Source organism: Homo sapiens, chromosome 1 (genome assembly GCF_000001405.40).
Source record: "Homo sapiens chromosome 1, GRCh38.p14 Primary Assembly".
In the NCBI taxonomy this organism is placed as follows: domain Eukaryota; kingdom Metazoa; phylum Chordata; class Mammalia; order Primates; family Hominidae; genus Homo; species Homo sapiens.
This window is the reverse complement of record NC_000001.11, coordinates 50,223,749-50,248,465: the sequence shown is the minus strand read 5'-3', so window position 1 is coordinate 50,248,465 and position 24,717 is coordinate 50,223,749. Positions and strand designations below refer to the sequence as shown.

At 44.3% G+C, this 24,717-nt stretch overlaps 1 long non-coding RNA gene across 1 annotated transcript in view; it reads left to right on the top strand.

Annotated features, from left to right (window-relative positions):
• Positions 1 to 24,717, top strand: part of LOC105378711 (uncharacterized) — a 52,673-nt gene that overhangs the window by 10,291 nt on the left and 17,665 nt on the right. Inside the window, exons 5-8 of the long non-coding RNA XR_947315.4 lie at positions 4,697 to 4,820; positions 8,118 to 8,227; positions 18,697 to 18,780; positions 20,871 to 21,008. This is a non-coding gene — a long non-coding RNA (uncharacterized LOC105378711). The remainder of the gene's footprint in view (positions 1 to 4,696; positions 4,821 to 8,117; positions 8,228 to 18,696; positions 18,781 to 20,870; positions 21,009 to 24,717) is intronic.

The window sequence follows — 24,717 nt, the reverse complement described above, 5'->3', positions numbered from 1 at the left end:
TCCCTTTCCTCAGTCATACAATGGGGATAGTAACAGCACTAACCTCAGGATTATTCAGAAGATTAAAAGAGGCTGTACATATAAAACATTTGGCAAATAAATGAACTGACACAAAGGAAATGCCCAATGTGAGCTATTTAGTAGGGTTTCAAATTTAACTCACATTCCAACTCAAATCTGCAGAAAGAATGTATTTTTTTTTCTGTTGATGATCTGACCTTCCTTCTGAGCCTCCTCTCTTGCTTTTAGTTCTGGTCAGGATAAAATTCTGGCCTTTTTTTAAATGTCAGAGGCTGAATATTACTTTATCTTTCTCTTGGAATCCCTTTTGAGAGATTCTCAACTTCATGCTAGTTAGATGGGGCAAGACTCATGTACTTGGGGATGCAAAAGAGAATAATGCTTTATTAATTTCCAAAATATTCCCTCTGCTACTTTTTTATTATCCTAATAATGATACAGGGCCCCTGTCACCCAATTCAGATTGTAGTTCGGATTGCAGTATGTCTTCCATCCCAAGACCAGAACAAGGCATGGGCTGTCCAGGGAGGGACTGCCACAGTAGGCCCCTCAAGGGCACCTCCCTGCACTTCCAGAGGCAGCTAGTCACAGAAGCCCTCCCTCCAAAGAGGGCCCCTCATCTCTACACTGTTCCATCTGCACCCACCACTGCCATTGTGCCAAGGGAACCTGCTGTCTCCTCAGATCCCAGCCACCTGACTACCAGTGGCAGCCCCTGTCTGATCCTTAGAGCACTGTTCGGAGACTTCTGCCAAGAACAGTTAGAAGAGAAAAGCAGAATCTCTAGGGGTTTGTGTTATATCTCTTTATATATTTAAAAAATTTCACAAAACAAAAAGCGAGAAAATCACTCTCTTCTCTCCTGGAGACTATTGTTTGGATCAGCATCCAACTGTCTCTTGCCCACCACCCATAGAACCCAGACTTACAGTCAGATGGAGAGCCTCAGAGGGCTTAAGAGGAGTGACCGCCAGGGTCCACCCAGCGATGCCACCACTGGTCTGGCCTGGCCTTGGCCCTGAGGAATCAGTCTGCAGTTATCTAGAACTCCCTGTCTGCATACTGCTCCTTCCCATATGTCTGTAGCTCTGGTCCAGACAGTGGCTGGAGGGGCTCTGGGCCACTCTGGCCCATTGAAGTGTAGAATGACCAGTACAGGATTTTAGATGGTTTAAGGTGACTTCTAGCAAGCTACCAAATCTCTCCATACTTCAGTCTCCTCTCCCTAAAATGGAAATAATGCTATACTATCTAGGGTTAGTATAAGAATTAAATGAGTTGATTTTTAAAAAGTTTTTAGAACAGCCTCTGACACATAGTATGTGCTATGTAAATGTTTGCTAAATAAATAAAATGCGAAGATCATAGCATTACACAGCACTGACTCACAAGTGCAAAAGTAGTTTCCATTTAACTCTTCTTTCAATCTGTCTGATTACATCAAGAGGTGCTCACACCTCAGTTTTGCACTAATATGTCTTGAGCACCTCTCTAACATGCTTTTCCCAAAATAGGGGCAGGTTTCAGACTCAGAGCATTTGGCAGGCAAGGGCTGCTCTAGAATTTAGTAATTTTGTTTTATTTTCAGTGCAATTAATTTTACATTTACTTTTTCTTCTTAGTATGTAATATTGGCTTTCCATTTATGATAGAAGTGATATAAAACTCGTTTAAGATACAAATTGAGTAAATTTAAAGAAAAACATAAAGTAAATAATGATATCGGTGACTTATGGTCATGGCAAAAGCTGACTTTCGGAAATGAATCCCAGAAGTTAGGGACACACACACACACACACACACACACACACACACACACACACACAATCTCTAAAGCGAGGACTCCCTGCACTGGTACAGTCCCAAATGGGCCTGAGATACTGATTTTTGATCTACTTTGTGGAGTGTCTCTCCTTGCTTCCATCCCTCTGTCCCACATGGGCCCAGCCTAGCTGACACCACCTTCACGGTGCCCAGTGCATGTGGTCTAGCCCTCCAGACATGCACTAAGCTGGTGCCTCTTAAGGTTCTGCCACTGCAGAGGCCTCTCTCCCCTCATTCTGTCTCCCCTCACTCTCTCTCTCTCTCTTTTAATCTTCCTGCCTGGCAGAGTGGCTGTAAATTACCACATTAATTTCCAAATCAAGCCAAGTTCCATAGTAACGGACCAGCTCCCATCCAGACCTGAAAAGATTCATTAGGAAGTTGATTTGCTAAGTGCCCTCAACTTACTCCTTCAAAACAACAGCTGCATTTACCCAATTCTGATAGCTCTACAGGGGTGGGGGCTCCAAGTGGCTGTGATCCTGACACGGAGTGAGTCCTTGAGCAGGAAGGGTGGGAAAGTTGGGGGATTTCAGAAGCAGTGGAATATAGGCCCCAGGTGGCCGTCAGAAATCTGGGTACTTCAGTGAGGGGGATGCTGATCTGCCTGCCCCCCTGGAGAACTCCTGGATGCCTATTCCATTTGTTCTATTTGTGGGCAGACTTGTTAAACCTGCTGGAGAGGTAGCTGGGGAGTGTCTCAGGGACTGGCAGGCCCTGGGATACTGGAACTTTGTGGAGTGTCTCTCCTTGCCTCAATCCCTCGGTCCCACATGGGCCCAGCCCATGTTGGAACTGTGGCTATGGGGCAATAAGTAGGGGTTGCAGGCCACCCCAATCTCTTTATGCTAAGGGGAAGGACTGAGAAGCCAGGGAACATATTTCATGGTTAAAAGGGTTCAGTAAAAATATTTCTCTACAAGGTTCAGGTAATTTTCTATGTAAACTGTCCCCAACAGGGTATTCTTTGGAAACTTCCATCTTCTCATATATAAAATGGGGACAATAATACTTTCTCACAGGGTTGCCATGAGGTCTGAATGGGACAATGTATGAAGAGTACTTACTACAGTGCCTGGCATGAAGTTAGCTCTCTTTATCTGTGATGCTGATGATAGAGTGATGATTCAAAGTTCACATTTCTGTCAACAACAACACTATCTACCTATTGATCCATCTGACTCCCTTGGCATTCCCTCATTCAGCAAGTGGACAGATCCTGAAGGTGCCTCTTCCTAAGCATCTCTCTGTTCTACCACCAGCTCGTCTTCCCCCTGCCCTAGTGAGGCTGTTGTCAGTTTTTGTTTGTTTGTTTGTTTGTTTCTGAGACGGAGTCTCACTCTGTCGCCCAGGCTGGAGTGCAGTGGCGTGATCTCAGCTCACTGCAAGCTCCACCTCCTGGGTTCACGTGCCCCTGCCTCAGCCTCCCAAGTAGCTGGGACTGCAGGCTCCCACCACCATGACTGGCTAATTTTTTTTTTTTTTGTATTTTTAATAGAGACGGGGTTTCACCCATTTGGATGCTAACTGATGTCCCTGCCCCAGTCAGAGCTGAAAGGGACAAGTGAGGCAATTTCTCCTCCTTTCCCCCTCCTTTCTTTCCCCTAAGGAGCAGTGGTTAAGGTTGAGGCTCTGGAGTGGCTAAAGCTCTAAGGAAGACAGACATGGAGTCTCATCAGGATTCACCAATCACTCACTGAGTAGGGGACTTGACTTCCCTGAGCCTACATTTTCTCATCTGTAAAACTGTATGAGGTTTCTTCTCACCTTATGAAATACTGTGAGGTTAAATGAGATTGTGTTTGTGAATTGGTTAGCCCAGGGCCTGGTTCAGAATAAATGTTAGCTACTGTGTCCATTTTCCGGGGCCAGGCCTTGTATTGAGCCCTGGGGCTCAGAGCTGGGTGCAACTTACACCCTGCCTTCCAGGTGCTCACTTGCAGATGGGAGAGATGGACATCTGAAGGCGTAATCATAACTTGAGGCACCAGAGGTGGTAGTGGGCTCTCCAGGAAGACTTCCTGAAGGAGGCCACACAGACTGGAAGGATTGGCCATGTGGCATAGCAGGATAGGAATTGCGCATGAGCAGAGATACTCAAACTTGTTACAAACACACTCTGAGGCCAAGGCCCTGGGCCCAAGTTTCCTGCAGAAATCTGAAGAGTGTGTAGTAGTCAGAGATCAGCTGGCCAGGCCAATATGCCTGTAAAAACCAAGGCTCAGGACCAAGGTGATCATTTTGAAATGGGGTTGTGGGTCAGTGGTGCAGGACTCAGGATTGCCCCTGGGGAAAACTGAGGCAGAGACAAGTGGGAAGGATCACCCTACCAGGAAGAGAACCAAGGTGCAGCCATGCCTGGAAGAGCTCCCCTTTTGATAGCGCCTAGTTTGGGGACAGCAATTTCCTAGCAGTTTCCTGTCTGTGCTGAAACAGCTTCAAGCCAGTGTGCAGGCTCTCCCGGCAGCTGCCCAAAGGCGAGGTCTTCCTAACGGCATTTGTATTTGCACTACACATTCCTGCAGCCTGTCGGGCAGGGGTGGGGAGGGCTTGTTTTAATTTGGCAGAAATTAATAAGTCTGAGTGGAGAGACATCACACATAGGGCTGAACATGGCATTGTCACCCCTTCTAATTTGTTAGACAATACAGCCCTGCTGCAGCTTCCAGTGTAGATGAGGAAAAATAAACACATGTATATTAATGACTTTAAAAGATTTCTATTTATCCAAGCGTGTCTCTTTCTTTTTATTCAGCATTTCATCAGATCAATAATTAGTCCCCATACATTTTAATAACTGGAGTTTTCACTTACGATTGTTTTTCATAATTTTGCATTTATGTTTGACAAGTTCAGGAACTTGTTCAGTTTGAAAAGGGAAGAAGAAAGTCAGGGATGGTTTCTTCTTGTGTCGTGGTGTCTCAAATCTAAAAGGGCAGAGAAGATGTGAACTGAGAGGGGCTCACCGAAATCTGGTGAGTCTCCTGGACTGCTTGTGTTCTGGGTGGTCCTAACCTCAGGGATGTATGTGTTGGGGTGGGAACAGGGGATTGGATTCTCCATTATTCGCTGTTTTTAAAATGTTGTAATTAGCAATAAGCCCTGCTCAGAAAGGAGATCTAGTGGGGGAAGGTGGGAGCTGTTTCACATGCTGCAGCCAGCTAAGCATCTTCAACAGGCATTTTACCAATTACAACAAGTGTACCACACTCATACATGAGGTTAATAATAGGGGAAGAGAGAAAAAACAATTAGATGCAATAAAAAATGATAAAGGGGATAATACCACCGATCTCACAGAAATACAAACTACCATCAGAGAATACTATAAACACCTTTAAGCAAATAAACTAGAAAATCTAGAAGAAATGGATAAATTGCTGTACACAAATATCCTCCCAAGACTAAACCAGGAAGAAGTTGAATCCCTGAATAGACCAATAACAGGCTCTGAAATTGAGGCAATAATTAATAGCCTACCAACCAAAAAAAGTCCAGGACCAGATGGATTCACAGCCAAATTCTACCAGAGGTACAAAGAGGAGCTGATACCATTCCTTCTGAAACGATCCCAATCAATAGAAAAAGAAAGAATCCTCCCTAACTCATTTTATGAGGCCAGCATCATCCTGATACCAAAGCCTGGCAGAGACACAACCAAAAAAGAGAATTTTAGACCAATATCCCTGATGAACATCAATGCAAAAATCCTCAATAAAATACTGGCAAACTGAATTCAGCAGCACATCAAAAAGCTTATCCACCACGATCAAGTTGGCTTCATCCCTGGGATGCAAGGCTGGTTCAACATACGCAAATGAATAAACATAATCCAGCATATAAACAGAACCAAAGACAAAAACCACATGATTATCTCATTAGGTGCAGAAAAGGCCTTTGACAAAATTCAACAGCCCTTCATGCTAAAAACTCTCAATAAACTAGGTATTGATGGGCGTGTCTCAAAATAATAAGCGCTATTTATGACAAACCCACAGTCAATATCATACTGAATGGGCAAAAACTGGAAGCATCCTCTTTAAAAACTGGCACAAGACAGGGATGCCCTCTGTCACCACTCCTATTCAACATAGTGTTGGAAGTTCTGGCCAGGGCAATCAGGCAGGATAAAGAAATAAAGGGGATTCAATTAGGAAAAGAGGAAGTCAAATTGTCCCTGTTTGCAGATGACATGATTGTATATTTAGAAAATCCCATCATCTCAGCCCCAAATCTCCTCAAGCTAATAAGCAACTTCAGCAAAGTCTCAGGCTACAAAATCAATGTGCAAAAATCACAAGCATTCCTATACACCAATAACAGACTAACAGAGAGCCAAATCATGAGTGAACTCCCATTCACAATTGCTTCAAAGAGAATAAAATACCTAGGAATCCAACTTACAAGGGATGCGAAGGACGTCTTCAAGGAGAACTACAAACCACTGCTCAACAAAATAAAAGAGGACACAAAGAAATGGAAGAACATTCCATGCTCATGGATAGGAAGAATCAATATCATGAAAATGGCCATACTGCCCAAGGTAATTTATAGATTCAATGCCATCTCCATCAAGCCACCAATGACTTTCCTCACAGAATTGGTAAAAACTACTTTAAAGTTCATATGGAACCAAAAAAGAGCCCGCATTGCCAAGACAATCCTAAACCCAAAGAACAAAGCTGGAGGCATCGCACTACCTGACTTCAAACTATACTGCAATGCTACAGTAACCAAAACAGCATGGTACTGGTACCAAAACAGAGATATAGGCCAATGGAACAGAACAGAGCCCTCAGAAATAATACCACACATCTACAAACCATCTTTGACAAACCTGACAGAAACAAGAAATGGAGAAACGATTCCCTATTTAATAAATGGTGCTGGGAAAACTGGCCAGCCATAGGTAGAAAGCTGAAACTGGATCCCTTCCTTACACCTTATACAAAAATTAATTCAAGATAGATTAAAGACTTAAATGTTAGACCTAAAACCATAAAAACCCTAGAAGAAAACCTAGGCAATACCATTCAGGACATAGGCATGGGCAAGGACTTCATGACTAAAACACCAAAAGCAATGGCAACAAAAGCCAAAATTCACAAATGGGATCTAATTAAACTAAAGAGTTTCTGCACAACAAAAGAAACTACCATCAGAGTGAACAGGCAACCTACAGAATGGGAGGAAATTTTTACAATCTACCCATCTGACAAAAAGCTAACATCCAGAATGTACAAAGAACTTAAATACATTTACAAGAAAAAATCAAACAACCCCTTCAAAAAGTGGGCAAAGGATATGAACAGACACTTCTCAAAAAAAGACATTTATGCAGCCAACAGACTCATGAAAAATGCTCATCATCACTGGCCATCAGAGAAATGCAAATCAAAACCACAATGAGATACTATCTCACATCAGTTAGAATGGCGATCATTAAAGAGTCAGGAAACAAGAGGTACTGGAGAGTATGTGGAGAAATAGAATACTTCTACACTGTTGGTGGGACTGTAAACTAGTTCAACCGTTGTGGAAGACAGTGTGGTGATTCCTCAAGGATCTAGAACTAGAAATACCATTTGACCCAGCCATCCCATTACTGGGTATATACCCAAAGGATTATAAATCATGCTGCTATAAAGACACACGCACACATATGTTTATTGCGACACTATTCACAATAGCAAAGACTTGGAACCAACCCAAATGTCCATCAATGATAGACTGGATTAAGAAAATGTGGCACATATACACCATGGAATACTATGCAGCCATAAAAAAGGATGAGTTCATGTCCTTTGTAGGGACATGGATGAAGCTGGAAACCATCATTCTGAGCAAACTATCGCAAGGATAGAAAACCAAACACCACATGTCGTCACTCATAGGTGGGAATTGAACAATGAGAACACTTGGACATAGGGCGGGGAACATCAAACACTGGGGCCTGTCATGGGGTGGGGGGAGGGGGGAGGGATAGCATTAGGAGATACACCTAATGTAAATGACGAGTTGGCGGGTGCAGCACACCAACATGGCACATGTATACATAAGTAACAAACCTGCATGTTGTGCACATGTACGCTAGAACTTAAAGTATAAAAAAAATAAATAGGTGAAATCGTGTGGAGATGGGGTAAGGATATATGCAAAATATGTGCTTTCTGCTCATTTTTTTCTATAAACCTAAGTAAACTCTTCTGAAAAAGAAGAGAGAGACATTTTAGTCCCCCACACTTCTAACATTGAGTTCCTTTGTCCTTCAGGAAAGGCCATTGTCACAGTGGTGGTGGGAGGCACCTGATTTCCTTGACACCTACTTTACACCACGTACTTTCTGTATTGCCATTGAACCTGTGACCACCTTGTTCAGCAGGTATTATTATTCTGCCTTACAGAAGGGGGGACATGAGTCACATCGGGTCACACAGCTGGGAGGGCTCTGAACTTGGCTCTCCTGATTCTGTGTCTGTGCTCCTTTACTGCATCCCACTCCCCCTGCTTCACACCGCTTCTTTCCACTCTTCTATTATGACGCAGCACATGAGTAATTTCTCCCGGGAAGCCTCCCCGGCTCCTCAGGTTTCCTCTGTGGCCTCCACACCACTGTGCTTCCCTCTGTCATGGCACTGATCTGTGCTACGGGAGTGTAGATCAGTGCTCTGTGTCTGTACCAGTGGGTTGTCATCCTCTGTTGACATGATGTCTCTCCCATTAGAATCTGAGCTCCTCGGGGTGAGGACTCTACTTGTTTATCTTTGCATTTTTGGGCCTTGAAAATAAATATCTGTGGTAGAAAGAAAGGGAGGGAAGAAAGGAGACTGATAAGGAAAGAAGAATGAATTTATACTAAAATAAATTGAGCAGATTGTAGAGTTTTAGACTTTCTTGATGCAAAATATTAAGGATGAATAGAGAAGCTTCATTTCTCTTTCTCCATCTCTCTCTTTTTAGTTTTTATGAGTGTGAAGGTTTTAATTTATTATTAAAGGCATATTATTATTTTTTAAAGAACTAGATGCTCTAAGCAAGACAAAGAAAGCTAAGACATGTCTTTATTTTCTCAGACCTTATCATGGAGTGTGAGAGACATGTATATAGGATATTGTAAATAACTAAATAAGGGAGCTTATTTTTAAGAAGGGAGGGGAATGGGAGACTTATTTTTTAAGCATCTGCAACCAGCCAGGAGCTGAATTAAGTACTTTGCATACATTATCTCATTCAATCCTCACACTTGTGCAATGGGCATGACAGCCCCCATTTTATAAATAAGGAGACCGAGGCTCAGGTTTGGGGAACCAAATGACTCACAGAACTAGCTGGTAAGGAATATGGGTCAGAGGGCTCCCAGATTTGTCAATTTCCCAAAGCTTATTCTCAGTCAAGTTCCCAAATGAAGAGACCAGTCAACACATATGGTTTCTCACGGGCAGTAGTGGCGGGGAGAAGATAGTCTGCTGGTCCTCACCTGCTAGCCTGCTCAGTTGCCAGCCCCAAGGCTCTCTTGCATTGCTCAGGCCCTGGGCCATCCTGAAGCTGGCAGGATGGCTTTGGGCTTAGCCTCAATAGTGGGTGGGTTCTGGAATTAGGCTCACAGCCTGAGCCTGGCATGTTGGATGCCTGCTGGGAGCTCTCTGATCCATATCCTCCTTTCTTGGTGGTGGCCCAGTAGATGCTTGCTGCAGTTTCCGTGATAGATCTCCAGTGTCCTACAGAGGCCTCAGCCTTGCCCTCAGCCTACTTGGCTGACACCTTGATCCTATAACTGGGTATTCCTTCTAGCTGAAGGAGCAGAAAGAGTAACATCATGTCAACCAGTGTCCACTTTGCAGTGAAGCAAATCCCTCTGGGCATTTCAAGCAGAAGACTTGGTTACAAAGATATTGATGGACTGGAGAGCAAAAGGGGAAAGGGGGAGCTCCTCAGAGATTAGTTATTATAAGGAAGTGATTACTGATCCCAGGTCTGAAGAAGTAAAAGTGAGACAGTGGAGGCTGCACTCCTGAAGAGACATTCCTAGAGCCAATGTCAGTGCAGCTCCTGGAATACAAGAGCCCACACTCCCACAGATGACAGAAGCCAACAATGGCTTCAATTTTCTTCCTGCCTTCTGATGGCCCATGTGTGTCCCTCAGCTGCAGAGCAGACTGGAACCCAGCTGGAATGGGAGTCTGAAAAATGTAGTTCTTGGGTCTCCAGCCATGATGGTACATGAAAGACCAATTGACCATATCTAGCACAGGATGGAAAGAGCAGGGGCTTGAGAATCGGGTGCCACTGGGTTCAAATTCTGCCTCTGCTTTAATGGGTCCTTGTGGAAATTGCTTAACTCCCTCTGACCTAGTTTTCTCATCTGTAAAGTGGAAATAATAATAATACTTTACTCATAGGGCTATTGTGAGGCTTAATTGAGATTATACGTATAAAGCACTTAACACAGTCCCTGTCCATAATAAGTACTCTATAAATGTTAGATACCATTGGCAGTGGTGTATTTCAGTTCACTTTTTTTCCATATGTAATCTTTTGTTTCCTGAACTGCTCATCTCTGACTCCTTACCACTACAAATCTGTGCCCAGGTTCCCCACCTGTGAAGGCTTTTAAAAATGAATCAGATTCTCAGAAGATATTGTACATTTGCAGAGCACCTTTCACCTATGCTGCATCAAAGTGGGATCCTACCCAAAATTGTACTTTTCCTCACTCTCTTCACCTCAGTTTCCCTGGTGATTATGAGAAAGTTAACAGGGTTCAAGCAGAAGGGTTAACAAGGTTCAACCAATCATGCCTTCTCAACAGTCCCCCAAAGTCTTAACTCATTTCAGCATTAACTCAAAAGTCCACAGTCCAAAGTCTCATCTGAGACAAGGCAAGTCCCTTCTGCCTATGAGCCTGTAAAATCAAAAGCAAGTTAGTTACTTCATAGATATGATGGGAGTACAGGTATTGGGTAACTACATATCTTCAAAATGGGAGAAATTGGCTAAAACAAAGGGGGTATAGGCCCCATGCAAGTCTGGAACCACTATGTGCTCACATCTGTGATCTCTTTAACTCCCCATTGCAACCATTAAGGCAGGATTATTGAATCCATCTAGTAGAGAAGAAGACTGAGGCCTAGAAATATTGTAGGTTCAGGTGACTCCCCTTCTGTGCTCCACCTACTCCTGTCTCCAATGTCCTATGGTAGGAGTCAGAGGGTAGGACTGCTTGGGTGGTGCTCAGCTCCTTTCAGCATGTTTCCTGGGTGCCCATGGGTGGTGGGCACACAGCCAGGCAGTCGCTGCCAAGCCCATCCGTTCTGTATTCAGCTCACGAGACTCACGCAGCTAGGAGGGGGTTGGCAGCAGGAAGAGGATGGTGTGAGAAAAGAACATCTCATGCTCCCCTTGCCCACGCATGAACCGCTCCTGGAGTAGTTGGATTCAGCCACTTTATTCTGCTTTCTGGCTCTTAAAGTGCAATATTGGGCTGGTTCCAATTCAATCCCATTTCACATGAGTTTACTGAGTATCTACACAGATAGATCAGGCCCAGGGTCTGCACTGGAGGGACTCACAGTCTCGGGAGGCAGATATGTGACAACAAAGATGGCATTCTTGTGTCAGTGCTATTTCAAGGAGGCACAAGAGCTATGAGAACAGAAATTTGGGGCTTCTAATTCTGCCTGGAGAGTCAAGCAAGACACCTTAGAAGATATAACTACCCAGCTAAGACTTGAAGGAAGCAGTAGAACTGGTTTGATGATGGGGATGCTGGCCCAGGCAGAGGGAGCAGAATATGCAAAAGCCGTTGGGGGAAACTAAGAAAGGCTCATGCCACTGACACATGGAGGGCAAAAAAATTTGTGGCAAATGCTGAGGCCATGAGGGGAAGAAAAGGGCTGAATCATGCCGGGCCTGGGTACCATGGATAACCAGCCACAGAGAGGTTTTAAGTAGGAAAGTGACATGCTAGATTTATGATTCAGAAAGAGCATTTTGGGGCCAGAGTGGAATAGGAGAAGACCCAACAGAAGACAGGGAGGCCACTGAGGTGAAGGCTGTTGCTGTATATGAGGAGGAATGGTGGTTGCCTGGACTGGGGCAGCAGTACAAGGAATGGAGTTCATTCATGAGATACTTAGAAGTAGAAGCAACCACTAAAATGATAGTAATCAATGCATAACACATAGAATTCTTGCTATATACCAAGCATTGTTCTAAGTGCTTGATATATAACTAAATTCGTTCTCACAATAACCCAAAGACACATGCCCAGAGGGCTGTAGAAACATATTCAAGGTTATATACCTTGTAAGTGTTGGAGTCAGTCAGGATTTGAACTCAGGAAGACTATCTCCAGAGTCCATGTCCTCAACCCCACATTATACTGCTTCTTGAGGTCACAGTGCTTGGTAGCTGCTTAAGTGTGAGGGATGACGGTCAGTGTATTAGTCTGTTCTCATGCTGCTAATAAAGACGTACCTGAGACTGGCTAATTTAGAAAGAAAAAGAGGTTTAATGGACTCACAGTTCCACATGGCTGGGGAGGTCTCACAATCATGGCAGAAGGCAAAAGAGGAGCACAGGCATGTCTTACATGGTAGCAAGCAAGAGAGCATGTGTAGAAGGACTGCCCTTTATAAAACCATCAGATCATGGGAGACTTAGTCACTATCATGAGAACAGCACTGGAAAAACTCACCTCCATGATTCAATTACCTCCCACTGGCTCCCTCCCACAATGCATGGGGATTATGGGAGCTACAATTCAAGATGAGATTTGGGTGGGGATACAGCCAAACCATATCATTCTACCCCTGGGCCTCCTAAGTCTCATGTCCTCACATTTCAAAACCAATCATGCCTTCCCAACAGTCCTCAAAAGTCTTAACTCATTTCAGCATTAACTCAAAAGTCCATAGTCCAAAGTCTCATCTGAGACAAGGCAAGTCCCTTCAGCCTGTGAGCATGGAAAATCAAAAGATAGTTGGTTACTTCCTAGACATAATGGGGACACAGGAATTAGGTAAATACACATGTTCCAAAAGGGAGAAATTGGCCAAAACAAAGGGGGTACAGGCTTCATTCAAGTCTGAAATCCAGCAGGGCAGTCAAATTTTAAAGCTCAAAAATGATCTCCTTTAAATCCATGTCTCACATCCAGGTCATGCTGATGCACAAGGTGGGCTCCCATGGCCTTGGGCAGCTCCACCCCTGTGGCTTTTCAGGGTACAGCCCCCTTCCTGGCTGCTTTCATAGGCTGGTGATGAGTGCCTGTAGCTTTCCCAGGTGCATGGTGCAAGCTGTCGATGGATCCTTCTGGGGTCTGGAAGACGGTGGCCCTCTTCTCACAGCTCCAGTAGGTAGTGTCCCAGTGGGGACTGTGTGGGGGCTCTGACCCCATATTTCCCTTCCACATTACCCTAGCAGAGGTTCTCCATGAGGGTTCCAGCCCTACAGCACACCTCTGCCTGGATATCCAGGTATTTCCATACATCCTCTGAAATCTAAGTGGAGGTTCCCAAACCTCAATTCTTGACTTCTGTGTACCTACAGGCTGAACACCACATGTAAGCTGCCAAGTCTTAGGGCTTGCATCTTCTGAAGCCCTGGTCTGAGCTGTGCGTTGGTTCCTTTTAGCCATGGCTGGAGTGGCTAGGATGCAAGGCAGCAAGTCCTGAGGCTGCACAAAGCAGGGAGGTCCTGGACCCACCCCAGGAAACCATTTTTCCCTCCTAGGCCTCTGGGCCTGTGATGGGAGGGGCTGCCAGAAAGGTCTCTGACATGCACTGGAGACATTTTCCCCTTTGTCTTGGTGATTAGCATTTGGTTCCTTGTTACTTATGCAAATTTCTGCTGCCCGGCTTGAATTTTTCCCCAGAAAATGGGGTTTCCTTTTCTTCTGCATCATCAGGCTGTGAATTTTCAAAACTTTTATGCTCTGCTTCCTCTTAAACACTGCCACTTAGAAATTTCTTCCACCAGATACCCTAAATCAGCTCTCTCAAGTTCAAAGTTCCACAGATCTCTAGGGCAGGGGCAAATTGCTGCCAGTATCTTTGCATAGCAAGAGCTACCTTTACTCCAGTTCCCAACAAGTTCCTCATCTCTATCTGGGACCACCTCAGCCTGGACTTTATTGTCCATATCACTAACAGCATTTTGATCAAAGCCATTCAACAAGTCTCTAGGAAGTTCCAAACTTTCCTGCATCTTCCTGTCTTCTGAGCTTTCCAAGTCTCCAGGAAGTTCCAAACTTTCCCACATTTTCCTGTCTTCTTCTGAGCTCTCCAAACTGTTTCAACCTTTGCCTGTTACCCAGTTCCAAAGTTGCTTCCACATTTTGGGGTGTCTTTACAGCAACACCCTACTCATAGTACCAATTTACTGTATTAGTCTGTCCTTACATTGCTAATAAAGACATAACCAAGACTGGGCAATTTATAAAGAAACAGAGTTTTAATGGACTCACAGTTCCACATGGCTGGGGAGGCCTCACAATCATAGTGGAAGGCAAAGGAGGAGCAAAGTCACATCTTGCATGACAGCAGGCAAGAGGGCATGTGCAGGGGAACTGTGCTTTATAAAACCATCAGATCTTGTGAGACTTATTCAATATCAGGAGAACATCACGGGAAAACCTGCCCACATGATTCAATGACCTCCCACTGGGTCCCTCCCACAACATGTGGGGATTATGGGAGCTAAAATTCAAGGTGAGATTTGGGTGGGGACACAGCCAAACCATATTAGTCAGGGAGGAGTTCAGCATGACTCCCAGTTTCCACAGAAGCTCATACTATCCTATGCCTTTTAGCAGGGGAAGGGAAAAGTTGGAGGAAGATGAAGAAGGAAGCGTAGCTGTACTTCTCGGTGGCTGATGACCACCTAGGCCCAGATACAATTTTCTCTCTGAACCCAGCTTTTTGTCCTCCTCCTTTCTGGCATCTTGTGAAATCACTGACATTGTTCAAAACCATCAGCTTTTGATGAACCCTGGAAGTTTATTTAGCAAACATTTCCTCCCCAAGGAAGGAAATGGAAATGCTTCTGACATGCTTCTGTCATTGACAGTCTTGCCGGGGTCATTCCTGCTTCCTCTCTCTCCCACCTGCTAATGTACTCCATTTATTAGCATGTTCCCTAAACTATCTGTGGTGAAGTACCTTTTATTTTTCCATTTTCAATTTGCTGTAGACTGATACTTTTGTAAAATACAATAAAAATGTCTCAGAAATGTCAAATTACTATAAAGTCCTTGTTCTCTTGCTTTTTGTACTTGTCTTGCTGTGGACTGTAGTTCACAGATCAGCCCCAGTTCACAGACCACTTTGTTGAGCACTGCTCAAGTTTTCTGTCTCTAATTCTATGCCACCACCCTGAACTGAGCCATCATCACTTGCCTGTACTCTGCAGTAGTCTCCTAAGTGGTCCATCCTCATCCACTCTGGTCCTCTCTAATCCATTCTTCACTTGGTAGCTAAGGAATCCTCTAACCCACAAATCTGACTATGTCATGTCCTTGCTTAAACCATTGACGCATTTCCCTTTGCCATCAGGAAGGTTTATGATAGGCCAATTCCTACTTCTTATTTCCTATCTTAACTCTCACTTTCCTCCTCATTCACATATGACAGGCTTCAAGTCATATCAAACTGTTATAATTTTTTTAATAACGAATGTGCTGTCTCATGCCTTAGGGCTTTTGCACAGGCTGTTCTCTCTATGTGGAATGACTTTTCCCCCAAAATTCATTCATTTATTCATTCAACCAACACCCGTGGGACACCCAATATAAACTAAATATCATGTTAAGTACTGGGACTGCATAGATGAAGAAGACGCAGTCCATTTCCTTCAGGAACTCATGATCTAACAGAGAGAGACAAGTAAATTGACAATGATCACACAAGGGAGCAAAGTGATGACAAAAGAAAGTGCAAGGGCAGTGGGAGTCCAGAGGAGAGTCTTATAACCTAGCCTGGGGTCAGGAAAGTCTTCCTGGAATAGATGACACTTGGACAGATCACCAAGTAATCATTCAGAGCTTGCCAGGAAACAGCAGAGGTCGGGGTAAGGAAGGAAAGATGATCTGGGCCAAGGAGCACCTGGCAGGAAAGTAGGGAAAGGAATGGCAAGAGTTTTCCTCATTGCCCAGCTGTTCTTTGTCAGGCCCTGTGCTCTAGGGATGCGGCTGTGGTGCCAAGTATCCCACGCATGAACACACACCTACAGACTTAAATACACACAGATGTAAAAACATATATGGAGAACTTTGAAAACATTATGGTAGGCAAAACAATCTAGACACAAAAAGTCACATATTGTATTATTCCATTTACATAAAGTATCCAGAATAGGTAAATCCATAGAGGCAGAAAACAGGTTGCCAGGGGCTGGGGGAGGGAGGAATATGGAGTCACTGCTTAATAGGTACAGAGTTTCTTTGGGGGAAGATGAAAATGTTTTGGAACTAGATGGAGGTGATGGTTGCACAACATTATGAAAGTACAAAGTGCCACTGAACTGTACTCTTAAAATCGGTTAATTTTATGTTATGTAAACTTTACCTAATTTAAAAAATATGGAAACATATATATATACTCAAAAAATATTCTCTAAGTGCCTGACATGTGTGAAGTACTAAGTAAACACTAGAGATTCAGAGTTCCTGTCCCTGAAATTTCCACTCCTGGGATTAGAAGCACATATATCTGAACCCATACAGACTAAAACACATGCTTCATGAAAACATACAGAAACATTCACTTATTCATTTAACAAATACTTATTGAGGGCCTACTATGTGTCAGGCAATAGGCCAGGTGCTGGGCCTCCAGTGGTTAACAAATAGACATAATTACTGTCCTCCTGGCTCGTGGACACAAACGTATAATCACCCATAGCGGCACACCAGATTGAAGTACACAAACACACACTACCTAAACAAGGACACAGCCAAAGCCCACCAGCCAAATATGTGTTGGGTGAAAGAAATGGGCAATGACACACAGACAGGCAAGAATAGTCCCTTATGCTCCCTGATATGCACACTTCCCTCATGCAATCAATGGGAGTTCCATTAAAAGTCAGATTAAAATGAACTCGGGATTTCAGTGCCTTCTCAGGAGAGAGGAATAAACAGGCCTCAGCAGAAAGGCCTGGAGCATTGAGACAAAAAAAATCCCCAAGCCTCACTTAAGTGATTTTTGGCAGAAATCAAATTAACGGCGAGACTATGGACCGCTGACAAGGTGCTCCATCATGCTCTGCTGTGTGAATGTGTTTTTTCTACATGTTGTTTTCATTAGCACTTCATTTGATAATGATAAATGGCATTTTCATTTGAAAGGAAAATATTAAAAAGTTCTGATTTGCAAGAGCAAGTTGGAATAAACGATATTATTATGTCCTGTCACTTGTTCAGCTCAGAGAAAAATAATAATAATGATAATAAAAAACCCCAACAGCTTTCCCTGCTGAAGAAACACAGGCATTTTATTTCTCCAGTGGGCCATTTTCTTGCTATCAAATCTGTCCTTGGCACAGAGACTGCCGAAAGGCAATGGTCTTGGAGGGTGAAGAAATTGTGGAGACGTCAAAGGCTATCAGGAGAAGGTGACCTTGGGAAGTCTTGGTCCCCTTGGAGTCTAGCAGGAGGAGGGATTGCTCGCTGGCCTAATCTCTGTAGGGGCCTGGAATGCACTTTCTTGCCTTTGAGTCAAATTTCAGAGGCTTTTTTTCTACTAGTTTATAGAAGTCTGGGCTCTTATGAGCTTACTTTAAGGGCTCCAGGGGTCATTATTCTGGTTGAGCAAGTTACTACCTTGCTTAAAACTCATTGAAGTCCTCTTCATTATGTACAGGATAAAGTCCTAACTCCTTAGCCTGGCATCCAATGCCGTTGGTGACCTTGCTCCTGCCTCCAGCCTCAACTCTCACAAATTCCCCTATACTTATCTAGTGCTCTAGTTACATTGAACTTCTTACTATTCCCTGCACATGCTTTCTCTTTTACCCAAATGCCATGCAGCTCCCCTTGACCACTCCTTGGGTGAACTTCTACTGATTCCAAGATCCAGATCAAGCACCTCCCTATGAGACCTTGTTTGAACCCTCTCCTGGAAGGGCATTCATTTATTGGTTCCCAAGCCTTGTTTTTACATACTCCATCCACCATGGGCATGAATGCATAAAATAGCCTGGTGCAAATGAAAGGCTGCAAGTCATTGGCATGGCTGGTGCAAATGGTGTGAACAGGTGCTGCAACAGGGAGTGCTGAGCTGGAACTGGGCCCAGTCTGTAGTAGGCCTGGTGTCTTTAAAACCCCACCTCAGGCTAGTGAGTGCTTTCTTCTCTGGCTCCCATAGCACCCTGGGCTATCCCGGTCCAATGACCCATCATATTTCAATGTCCACAATTGTTGGGGTTCAGGGTTTTTCCCCTTTTCTGCCCATAGACTGTGAGCTTCTTTAGCACAGAGTCTGCTCTATGTTCCCTCAGTGTTCCCAGGACCCAGCACAGGGTCTACTTAAAGTGAGCACTTGTTAGATAATCAAGTGAGTGAATGATAGTATGATGGCATCTCTAAGAAGGGTTGTATCATCTTAACTCAATCAGAAGTTATGAAATTGAGGTCTGGGAAGAGTTGTTTGGACAACTTTTCCCCTAGTATTTCTTCATATCAGTAGCATAAACTTTACCTTATCCAGAGGTGAATCAGAGTCAAATAAGTTTGTTTGATAGCCCAGCACATCTCAGCAAGGGTCGATGGCATTAGCATGCATTGGGAGACTTTCAATGTCTGGCCTCAGCCCAGGCAATTGGTGAATCTCCTTTCTGTCTCCTTTGCTGCAGAAGGAGGAACGTGCCGTGACGAGAGAAGGCTGAATGTTTGCTGCCTCTGGAGGAAGTGAGAGCTGCTCAAAGGTGGTGACCACGGTAATAATGCAGACTTTGAGGCTGTCCTTGGTCTTTGTTCCTAAGCATTAGACCGTCTACTGCCTCTTTGATGTCCCCCAAGAACCCCATAAGATGGCGGTTTAACTAACATGAGATGAGCTTCCACTAAGAGGCAAACACCCTGTTTTGCATGATCGGCAGGAGAAGTATGACAATTCCCATTTTACAAATTAAGAGACTGAGATTCAGAGAGGGAAAGGGTCTTGCTCAAGGTCACACAGCTGGCTAGTAGGTGAAGCAGGACCAGCATCCAAGTTTGTCAGGTTAAGGGTCTCCCTCCCCCAGAACAAGATATCGTTGAGCATCCATAGGGTGCTTAGCTCTGGAATAGGTAGTGGGGGAGAGAAAGGGCTGAATGAGTTGTGGAAATTGAGATGGAGAATAGAGTCTGCATCCTGGCTGACGTTGAACCCCAGGCCTTCTTCGGACTTCAGCCTCCTCCCTGCTCATTCCACATCTCAGCCTATACTAGGCTCACACCTTTCCCTGTGCAGGCCCTGCTACATTCTTTACACCATGCCTTTTGTCAATACAGTCTTCCTGTCTGGCAGGCTCTTATCTTAACTTCACCTGTTAAAATTCCAAGCATCATTTAGGATCTAGCTCATATCCCACCTCCTCCAAGAAATCTGCGAGCAACATGTGGTTTGTTGTCCCCATGGCATTATGAGCCCTCAGGGGATATGTTTATAGAATGCAGCTAGTGTATTCTCTAATTCACTCTTGAATTGTGCCCTACACATAGTAGATGCTCCATTAATGTATATGTAATTATAATTATCATATCATATTCATCATTTTTAACATCTTAATACTTCCAGTATTTGTCTAAAATGGTACTTCCCAATAAACTTTAAATCACCTTCTTTAAAAATCTGCTGCTGGAAGCCATGGACTCTCCAGTCACAAATGCACAGAGGAGTCACATCATGTTCAGGTGTTCAGCTCTAAAGATAGTCTGTGAGACAAAAATCACATGTAGTTGAAATTACCCTTGCAAATCCTGTGAATGCCCTCAAAACTTCAGAGTATATAGTGTAGTATCTATATAGAAGTTAGTTGGTTTACATTTGGGAGCCATGTTGTATGAAAAAGTCTTTCTTTAAATAATAGAATCACTTCCAGCACAGCAAGAAGCTCACATATAAGAGGCACAGGGGAATTCAGATTGTGTGATGGACCAGCAGGTCTCTGCTTATATATATAAAATTTAGCATCATCTTCAAGAGGTTCATAGACCTCAAAGCTCAGACATGGACCTTGGGTTAAGGGTCTTTAGTACAGAGCTTTAAAATTTGCCAGGTGCTTCTCACACATTAGTTCATTTAAATGCTCAGAAACATTCTTTGAAATGGATAGCACTGATGTTATTCCTACTTTACCAATGAGGAAATTGAGACTCAGAGAGGCAAAATGACTTTTAGTCCAAAGACCTGGCTTTCTCATTCAAAGACTTTGCTCAAAGACTCCCACACTCTACTGCCTTCATGGCCACCTTGAGGGGTTAGACTGGTCCTTGATCCACTTATTGATGGAATAAGAGGATGTGTGACCTTAGACTAGTTACCTAACTTCTCTGAAAGCACTTTTTTTCAAAATAAAGATATTAATATCCACTGAGCAGTGTCCTTGTAGGATTAAATGAGCCATTGGATGTAAAATTGCTTGGCAGCGTGCCTAGGATATTGCAGGGGCTCCTCAGGGGCTGGATTTTCTTCCCCTTTTCTGCTAAAACTGGCACTCTCCCAGGAAATCAAACAGACAAAAACCTTCCTCTGCATTATTGGTGAGGTCCTGTCAATGATGGCTGGCCCTTCTCAGTGTCATCTCTGACCTCCAAAGGCCTTCAAAGAGTTGGAGTCTTGTACAAAACTGTTAGAGAATATGCAAACATCCCTCTGTGTTTTTGAAGTTTCTGAGGTTCTCAATGCCATTTATTTAAAATGGAGCAGAGAGCAGAGGAGCAGGCACCATGAGTCTGTCCCATCACAAATTCTGTGTGATGTTGGGCAGGTGTCTTCAATTAAAGAAACATTTTTGGAGACACAACTGTTTTTCTATTCATTCAGGCTTCAAGGCAACTCATGAATCTCTACTCAAACCCTCCAGTGGCTGCCTGTTTTACTTAGAGTAAAAGCCCAAGTCTTACAGGGGCCTATGAAGTCTTTATCTGTCAGAGTCCAACTGGGAAACACAATCCATACCAGGTAATTTAGTAGAGATTATTTAATGTAGGGAATTAGTTATAAACATGCTAGAAGAGCTGAAAGAGTAACCAAGAGAAAGTGGGGTAACCACAAATTTAACAAATGCAGGGCCCACCAATTCTCCCAAGACATGTGGGAATAAAGAGAGGAGTCCATGTTACTGGAGTCTGAGAGCTGGAGCTGCCCCACTGGAGCTGGAAACATGGCAGGTCTGTCTGTCGGGAGCTAGAGCCAGAGATGTGGCCCCTGCTAGAGACACCATTTGAAAAAGAGAGACCTGGTTTTTCTTCCTTCCCACTCTCTAATCTGCTGACAGTGCCTCCTATTGGCCAAATCTAGCCAGAAGCCTGAGGGCAAGGAAGCAGTACAGAGAAGGGGAGGAGGAGTATGAGAGGAAACTAACCACTGATGCTACAGGGACTTTCAGGATATGGTGCCCCCCTCCCCAGCCCCTATTATTTCTCTGGGATGATGTCCAACAAACATCTCGCGTCTTGCTCACTCCAGCCACATTGGCCTCCTCATTGCTATTTGGACCCACAAGGCCTTTACATTTTCTATTCCCTCTGTCTGGATTTTATTCACTAGATAGCCACATGGCTCCATTCCCTGCTTCCATCACTTTCTAAGTGAGAGGACTTCTACGACCATCGTATTAAAATTGTAACTACTTCCCCTTCGCTGGTTGTATGAGTCAATTCTCACATGGCTATAAAGAACTATCTGGGACTGGGTAATTTATGAAGAAAAGAGGGTTAATGTACTCACAGTTCTGCATGCTGTACAGGAAGCATGGCTGGGAGGCCTCAGGAAACTTAAAATCATGATGGAAGGGCAAAGGGGAAGCAAGTACAACTTCACATGGTGACAGGAGAGAGAAAGAGCAAACAGGGGAAAGTGCTATGTGTTTTAAAACAACCAGATCTCATGAGAACTTACTATCATGAGGACAGCAAGGGGGAAATCCAACCCCATGATCCAATCACCTCCCACCAGGTCCCTCCCCCAACATTGGGGATTACAAATCAACATGATATTTGGGTGGGGACGGAGAGCCAAACCATATCTTTCTGCCCTTCTAAATCTCATGTCCTTCTTACATTTCAAAATACAATCATGACTTCCCAACAGTTCCCCAAAGTCTTAACTCATTCCAGTGTTAACTCAAAAGTCCAAGAGACTTTGGAAGTTTCATCTGAGACAAGGCAACTCCCTTCCACCTATGAGCCTGTAAAATCAAAAACAAGTCAGTTACTTACAAGATACAATGGGGGTGCAGGCATTGGGTAAATTCTTCCATTCCAAAAGGAAGAAATTGGCCAAAACAAAGGGGCTATAGGCCCCATGCAAGTCCAAAACCCAGCAGGGTAGTCATTAAATCTTAAAGTTCTGAAATAATCTCCTTTGACTCCATGTCTCACATCCAGGGCATGCAGATGCAAGGGGTGGGCTCCCAAGGCCTTGGGCAGCTCCACTTCTGTGGCTCTGCAGGGTACATCCCCTGTGTCTGCTTTCAGGGCCTGGCATTGAGTGCCTGTGGCTTTTCTAGACGTATGGTGCAAGCTGTTAGTGGATCTACCATTTGGGGGTCTGGAGAATGGTGGCCCTCTTCTCACAGCTCCTCTAGGCAGTGTTCCAGTGGGGACTCTGTGTGGGGGATCCAACCCCATATTTCCCCTCTGCATTGCCCTAGTAGAGTTCTCTCCATGAGGGCTCTGACCCTGTAGCAGACTTCTGCCTGGATATCCAGACGTTTCCATACATCCTCTGAAATCTAGGCAGAGGACTCCAACCCTCAACTCTTGCCTTTTGCACACCCACAGGCCTAACACCATGTGGAAGCCACCAAGGCTTGAGGCTTGCACCCTCTGAAGCAATGGCCTGAGCTTTATCTTGGCCCCTTTTAGCCATGGCTGAGCTGGAGCATTTGGGATGCAGGGTGCCATGCATGTCCTGAGGCTGCACAGAGCAGCAGGGCCCTGGGCCTGGCCCACAGAACCATTTTTCCCTTCTAGGCCTCCTGGCCTGTGATGGGAGGAGCTGCTGTGAAGGTCTGTAAAATGCTCTGGAGGCATTTTCCCCATTGTCTTGGCTATTAACATTCAGCTCTTCTTCACTTATGCAAATTTCTGCAGCCTTGAATTCCTCCCCAGAAAATGAGTTTTTCTTTTCTACCACATGGTTGAGCTGCCAAATTTCTAAACTTTTATGATCTGCTTCCCTTTTAAATATAAGTTCTAGTTTCAGTTTATTTTTTTGTTTATGTAAATGACCATATGCTTTTAGAAGCAGCCAGGTCACATCTTGAATGCTTTGCTGCTTAGAAATTTCTTCCCCCAGCTACCCTAAATCATCTCTCTCAAGTTCAAAGCTCCACAGATGTCTAGAGCAGGGGCACAGTGCCACCAGTCTCTTTGCTAAAGCATAGCAAAAGTGAACTTTACTTCCCAGTAAGTTCCCAGTAAGTTCCCAGTTCTCAGTAAGTTCCTCATCTCCACCTGAAACCACCTCAGCCTGAACTTCATTGTTCATGTCATCATCAGCATTTTGGTCACAACCATTCAATGAGTCTCTAGGAAGTTCCAAACTTTTCCACATGTTCTTATCTTTTTCTGAGCCCTCCAGACTGTTCCAATCTCTGCCCATTACCCAGTACCAAAGCTGCTTCCACATTTTCAGGTATCTTTATAGCAATATCCCACTCCTGGTACCAATTTTCTGTATTAGTCCATTCTCACACTGCTATAAAGAACTACCTGAGGCCAGGCGCAGTGGCTCACGCCTGTAATCCCAGCACTTTGGGAGGCCAAGGCAGGCAGATCACGAGGTCAGGAGTTCCAGACCAGCCTGACCAACATGGTGAAACCCCATCTCTACTAAAAATACAAAAATTAACCAGGCATGGTGGCATGTGCTTGTAATCCCAGCTACTGGGGAGGCTGAGGCAGGAGAATTGCTTGAACCCAGGAGGTGGATGTTGCAGCCAGCCAAGATCACGCCACTGCACTCCAGCCTGGGTGACAGAGCGAGACTGTGTCTCAAAAAACAAACAAACAAACAAACAAACAAACAAACAACAACAAAAACCTTCAAAAACCAAAAAAACTACCTGAGACTGGGTAATTTATTTTTATTTTTATTTTTGAGAGGGTATCTCGCTCTGTCATCCAGGCTGGAGTGCAGTGGTGTGATCTTGGCTCACTGCAACCTCTGCCTCCTGGGTTCAAGCGATTCTCCTGCCTCAGCCATCCAAGTAGCTGGGATTACTGGCACCTACCACCATATCCAGCTAATTTTTGTATTTTTAGTAGAGACAGGATTTCACCATGTTGTCCAGGCTGGTCTCGAACTCCTGACCTCAAGTGATCTGCCTGCCTCAGCCTCCCAAAGTGCTGGGATTACAGGTGTGAGCCACCGCACCCAACCAAAACTGGGTAATTTTTGAAGAAAAGAGGTTTAATGGACTCACAGTTTGGCAGGATGTACAGGAAACTTGGCTGAGAGGCCTCAGGAAATTTACAATAATGGTTCAAGGTAAGGGGGAAGCGAGGGCATTTTCACATGTTGGAGCAGGAGGAGGAGAGAGTGAAGGTGGAAGTGCTATGCACTTTCAAACAACCAGATCTCATGATAACTCACTCACTATCATGAGAACAGCAAGGAGGAACTATGCCCTCATGATTCAATCATCTCCCACCAGGTCTCTCTT